The sequence below is a fragment of the Homo sapiens genome, chromosome 9, assembly GCF_000001405.40.
Source record: "Homo sapiens chromosome 9, GRCh38.p14 Primary Assembly".
Taxonomy (NCBI): Eukaryota; Metazoa; Chordata; class Mammalia; order Primates; family Hominidae; genus Homo; species Homo sapiens.
In genome coordinates this window covers 93,167,443-93,173,824 of record NC_000009.12, presented here as the reverse complement: position 1 = coordinate 93,173,824, position 6,382 = coordinate 93,167,443, and the positions used below count along the sequence as shown (strand labels likewise).

The window sequence follows — 6,382 nt, the reverse complement described above, 5'->3', positions numbered from 1 at the left end:
AATGCAGCTCAAATCTTGGGTCTGGAGGCTCCTGGCTCTGATTTAAGCCTTGGCGACGCCCTCTGGCCATGACCTTCGACTGGCTTGTTAATTTATCTGAATGTCAGTTTCCTCATTAGTCAAAGGGGCAATGGAGGTGCCTCTTTCCTGGTTGTGAGAGAGTCCTGGGGAAGGTCTTAGCAGCCCTGGAAGGAGGCAGATGTGTTGGCTTTTGCAGGCTGCAGAGATGGCCATCAGGTGTGCTGGGGCAGCTTGGGGAAACTGGCTACTGCTGTCCTCTTGACACTGGGCAAACTCAGGCTGGGAACCCCCAGCTTCCTTATCATCGCTTCGCCAGCAATGCCTGCCCACAGAGGGAGAAATGGCCACCCGTTCCAATCTGCCTGGGCACATGTCCTCACCTCCATTTCCACAGGGGGACACGGAGTTTCAGGGGACACAGCAACAGGTGTGTCAGGACCACAGAGCCAGCGGGGGTCTGTGTGGACAGAGCAGAAAGAAGGAACCGGGAAGCCACAAGTTTCGGCCCCCACCCAATGGGCTTGGTGGGGTCCTCGGACCAGAGTCTATGCCTGCTGTCCAGGCAGGTTCTGACCGTGGCCAAGGCCGGGTTGTCCTCCCAGCTGGGCGACCTGACTCAGGCCTGGGGCTGGCAGGGGTCTCTCCTGCCCAGAGTTTCCAATTTGCACTCAGTGGGGCCCCAGGCAGCCTGGCAATTGGAGCCGACCAAGTCCCCTTGAGAACCCCCAAAGGGGCCGCATCATTCTCCATGTGAATATAGAAGAGGGTTTTTTCCACTTATTGATGAACTTGCCTGCCAGATTTCTGTTTTTTTCCAGCAGACTCAGTCCAAGTTGCTTGTGCCTGTCCCTGGAAGTGCCTGGCTCATTCAGACTGAAGGTGTGCCCGGGGAAGACGTGAGGCCGCTAGCAAACGGCCTGCTGTGCACATGGCCCAGTGCTCGCCTTGGAAAATGACTGTAGCATGTGACAGACCATGTGGGAGGCATCATCCACCCGGGATAGCCGGGAAGCTGCCCAGACGAGGGGCACGGAGCCCAGGATTAGGAGACGAAGAAGAAGATGATGAGACAAAGTCATTTCCTAGAGGATCCAAGCGGGAGGGCTTTCTAAGAATGCCACACAATCCAGGAGCTAGATCTACGGCTTATACAGTCGATTCTTGGATCTGGGGGAGTCATGCTTTGTAGTCTCTTCGAACACTGAATTAGCGAATCCCAAACCATTGTGTCCCAGCAAAACACAACACACTTTCCAATCAGCTCCATGTACAGATCGGCACACTTCCTCTCCTCTTTCTGGATGGGCAGTTGATTCGTTAACAGGGAACCTCAGTCAACAGCACCATAACTCACATGTGATGGAAGCTTCTCTAATACACATTTTCTCCCCTAGGCACATCACAGCTTCTCTATGCTTAAGAACACAGGGCAGCTCTTCAGCATGGTGCCTGCAGCCATTTGAAACAACAAAATCACCAAAAAAAAACCCAGAAAGTGTGGCACTAAATAGAATGCAGGACTGACAACCCAGGAAATAAAGGGACAAATGTAAGTAGAGAATTAACAGGAAAACAATACAAATGGGGTGTAGTGGCTCACACCTCTAATCCCAGCACTTTGGGAGGCCAAGGCAGGTGGGTTGCCTGAGCTCAGGAGTTCGAGACCAGCCTGGGCAACACAGTGAAACCCCGTCTCTACTAAAATACCAAAAAATAAAAAATAAAAATATTTAAAAATAAGCCAGGTGTGGTGGCGTGCACCTGTAATCCCAACTACTCCGGAGGCTGAGGTAGGAGAATTGCTTGAACCTGGGAGGCAGAGGTGCAGTGAGCCAAGATCACGCCACAGCACTCCAGCCTGGGTGACAGAGCGAGACTCTATCTCAAAAAAAATAAAACAGACACACAAAAACAATAAAAATGGCTCCTAGATAGGAAAAAGTGCAACTTTGCTCATGAAAAGAAAATTGCCAATTGAAACCACAGAGAGCCCTCATGACGCCAGGTTCTACCTATTGGTCTAGCATAAACGAGGAAGCATGAAAGTGCACTGAGAGGCTTGGCCTTGGGGACAGACCCTCCCATGCTTTGCTGGGGGCAGCCATCCACTGTTTGTGTCAAGGAAAGTCACAAATGAGTGGGGTCTCCAAGGCGGGGTCCTTCCCCAGGAGCTTGCGCTGGAATATGCACCTGAGCATTCCCATGTATAGGCTCAAGGACAGACTTTTTCATTATGAGTGACTTGCCTTTTGTCTCTCCCTCATATTGCTGTAGGGCTTATCTTATTCTTTCAGTTGTGTGTGCAGGGGTTGCATTATCTTCACATCTCATTTTCAGTGGTCTAAGGAGTAAGGCCCCAGGCATTCAACATGTAGGGTGGGTGAGCAGGACTGCAGCCTTTCCTGGAGCCAGTACGTTGGCCTCAGGCAGCCCCTACAGGGGGTCTCTGACAGGATCACCAGTCCCAGCCACAGGGCAGTGGCCTAGAGGGGACCACAGCACGGGTGCTGGGGGCTGGGCAGGGGTGGGTCCTAGATTTGAGCCTTCTTGTTGTGAGCCCATTCTGCTGAGGCCTGGGTGGGGCATGCCCCCTCCCACCTCCTACCCAGTTCTGGCATATTACAGACCCTATGTGGGGTATGGACCACAGAGGGTCCACATAGATCAGACACACAGGTAACTTTTGCGCCACCCAGCCTGATGGTCTGGGGCAGACCCAGGGTGGTCACCCAGTCACGGGACATGCCCCTCCAACACTCCATAGTAATAACTGTCACCCTCTGGAACAGCTTGGTCCAGACCCGATGTACACGTGCTGTTTTAAGGTCCCACAATGACCCTATAAAGTAGGAACGGTGATTCTGCTCAGAAAAATAATACAAACAGCTTCTAGATATGAAAACGTGCAACTTTGCTCATGAAGAGAAAATTGCCAATTGAAACCACAATGACAGCCCTCATGATGCCAGGTTCTACCTCTTGGGTTGGCAAAAATGACAAAGTGTGAAAGTGCGCTGAGAAAGATCTCCAACAGAGTTAGGTTTACAGATGAGCCAGGCTCTTAGACACTAAGTCGAAGTCACCCGCCTAAGGTCACGTGCTGGTACCTGGGGAGTGTATGCAAACTGAGGCAGTTGGTCCTGAGCCAGGCCTCACTGGTCAGGAGGCCGAGCTCCAAGAATCAAGGGTGCCCAGCAGGGTGAGGCAGAGCTCCCGACACCACACCTCCTGAAATTCCCCATTGTCAGCCAGAATGAGATTGGCAGCAGAGCTGTTTTTGCTTACTAAACTTTTCATTTTTTTTTTAATTTTAAGAGGGGGTCAGCCGGGTGCAGTAGATCATACCTGTAATCCCAGCACTTTGGGAGGCCGAGGCTGGTAGATCACGAAGTCAGAAGATGAAGACCATCCTGGCCAACATGGTGAAACCCCATCTCTACTAAAAATACAAAAATTAGTTGGGCATGGTGGTGTGCACCTGTAATCCCAGCTACTCCAGAGGCTGAGGCAGGAGAATTGTTTGAACCAGAGAGTCAGAGGTTGCAGTGAGCCGAGATCGTGCCATTGCTCTCTAGCCTGGCGACAGAGCGAGACACCATCTCAAAAAAAATAAATAAATAAAGAGGGGGGTCACTATGTCACCCAGGCTGGAGTGCAGTGACTCTTCATAGGCGCAATCATAGCACACTACAGCCTCCAATTCCTGAGCCCAAGTGATCCTCCTGTCTCAGCCTCCCAAGTAGCTGGGACTACAGATGTGTGCCACCTTGCCTGGCTCAACTTTTATTTTGAAGAGTTTCAAACCCACAAGAAAAACTGTGAGATTTTGCACTTGCTTTTTGCTTTCTCTCCCTGCTGCTTGCATTGACTGCCTTCAGGTGCCACTGCCTCTGCCTCCATGTGTCCCTAGCTGTCCTTTGGGCTGTTCCCCTAATGAGTGACCTGCACAGAGCTGCAGGCCAGCCTCTCTCTGCTCAAAAACTCTGAGCTCAAATGTGGAGACGCTGCTGATTCTAGTATGTGTCCTTCCTCTAGTGCACAACTCAACATTTTTGCTTGCAAGTGACAAAATGCTAGCTCAAACTGGCTTAAGCCAAAAAGGAAATTCATTGACTCCTAGAGTGGAAAATCTGGTAAGCAGTAATAGTTTCAGGTATGGCTTGATCCAGGCACACAAGTGCTTCCTTTCCCTCTTTCAGCTCCACTTCCTTTCATGAAGGTGTCATGCCTGGTCCAACTCCCCCTAGGTACCCATGATGACAGCAGCTCCCACATGACCTTCTTGGCCTGGCCTCTGCTGCCAAGGAAAAGCCTTGGGTTGGAATCTTATTGGCTGACTTGAGGATTTGCTCATCCCTAAACCAATCACCATGAACAGGGCTGGAGTGCTCTGATTTGGCAGACTGGGTCACATTCACCTGGAGTCAGAGGGCAGGTTGCTGGAATAGGGATTGATCCCAGAAGAAGGGGGAAGGTTAGCTGTCCCATCTTCCCATGACCTTGATCTTGGGAAGGCTGGCTTGGCTCACCTTGAAGGTCTCCACTAATTCCCAGGGGTTCCCAAGCATGGCTCTTACTCTCTTGGCCTCAGTTTGCTGGTCTGTTAAATAGCTCAGTAAATAGGGCTGTGGAGGGGTCGTGGGAGGACCCCCAGATGACCTGGCACACAGAAGGTGCCCATCAAATGCCAGCCCTGTCCTCCCAGGCTCCGTGCTCAGCACATGCCTGCGAGGGAGTCACAGTCTCTTGGGGCCTTTGGAATGGGAACCTATGTTTCTCTAAAACGCTTTATGTGAACTGCTCAAGGAAGTCACTGATCAATAAACCACAGCAGTGACCCTTTTGATGAACAAATACATATTGATCTTAGAAAAGAATTGCTGTTTTGCAAGATAATTGGTTCAGTGAGACCAGAAGGCTTCCTTGTTTTAAATAAAGACCTGATAAAGAGTGATGTCTGCAGGGCAGGAGCAGGTTACTCCCCAGCTGCCTGGGACCGTGAGTGTTTTCCCACAGGGTCATCACAGGCCAGGCTGGAGCAGAGCCCTGGAGCCTACAAGGCTACGGAACATGGGGCGGCTTATGCTTCGCTTGTGCTTTGTGGGGCTTGAAGAGGGCTTTGGTTCCGTGTCTTTGATAATGTGGGGTTGGAGGTTGGGGGGGAAAGGAGGTCTTGGATCTGAAGCTGAGGAGTGGACATCAGGCCAGGCCAGAGGTCAGACCAGTCCAGGTGTCAGAAAGAGAAAGCCAATGGGTGTTCTGGCTGCAGAGGTGAGAGGCAGCAAGAAGCCCTCGGCCTCTCCCAGGGCTCTCCTCAAACGCCTGGGCTGGACATTCTACTTTTTTGACAGGTGGAGAAACCAAGGCCCAGAGAGGAAAAGAGAGCTGCCCAAGGGCCCCTAGCAAGCAGGTCACCAAAGAGCCAGGACTCTAGGCTGCTGGGCGACCAGCCCAGAGGGAGTTAGTTATCTGTGAGCATCGGCCAGATTTGGGGAGTGTCTCTAAACACAAGAGCAATGGGGGTAGGATGGGAGAGATTTTAAAAGGAAAAGGTACATCTGACCTATTTAAAAAATATTAAGAAATGGGATTAAAAGGTAGCCATCTATTTGAGAACACGACATGAAACATAAGAGGGCATTTTTAATATAAAAGAAGCTCATGCGGGTCAGTACAGTAAAGACCAAACTCCCAAAAGAAAGGAGGAGCCACAAAAGGTCACAAACCCAGAAGACAACAGTGTGGTCTCTTCGGGAACAGTTGTGAGGCAATGAAGGCAAACAGATGTCTTCACACATGAGTTTAGCTGTTCTTGTTCCAATAAGGTCCAGAGTTGGCAGAGGACTGGCAAGACCGGTGCCCTCCATGTCACTGTGGGCAGGCCAGTCAGCAGAATCCTTTAGGAAAGCAATTTGGCAAAAAGTCTCCCACATTTTCCCACTCTTTCATCTACTTCTAGGAATTTACCCTAAGGAAAGCAGAGACTGAAGGATACAGTTGTTTATCTAAGAGTTATTCAAAAGGCCAAAAGAGGCTGGGCGCAGTGGCTCACTTTGGGAGGCCGAGGTGGGCGGATCACTTGAGGTCAAGAGCTCTAGGCTGGGCACGGTGGCTCAGGCCTGTAATCCCAGCACTTTGGGAGGCTGAGGTGGGTGAATCACAAGGTCAAGAGATCAAGACCAGCCTGGTCAACATGGTGAAACCCTGTCTCTACTAAAAACACAAAAATTAGCTGGGCATGGTGGCGCACACATGTAGTCCCAGCTACTCAGCAGGCTGAGGCAGGAGAATCGCTTGAACCTGGGAGGCGGAGGTGGCAATGAGCTGAGATCATGCCATTGCACTCCAGCCTGGGGCGACA

At 51.0% G+C, this 6,382-nt stretch overlaps 1 annotated feature.

Moving 5' to 3' along the window:
• Nucleotides 1–574: an enhancer, noted in NCBI's record as "H3K4me1 hESC enhancer chr9:95935533-95936106 (GRCh37/hg19 assembly coordinates)". NCBI's record gives its function as "activates a minimal SCP1, AML or CMV promoter by ChIP-STARR-seq in primed H9 embryonic stem cells {active_cell/tissue: H9 hESC(primed)}" and the evidence as "EXISTENCE:reporter gene assay evidence [ECO:0000049][PMID:30033119]".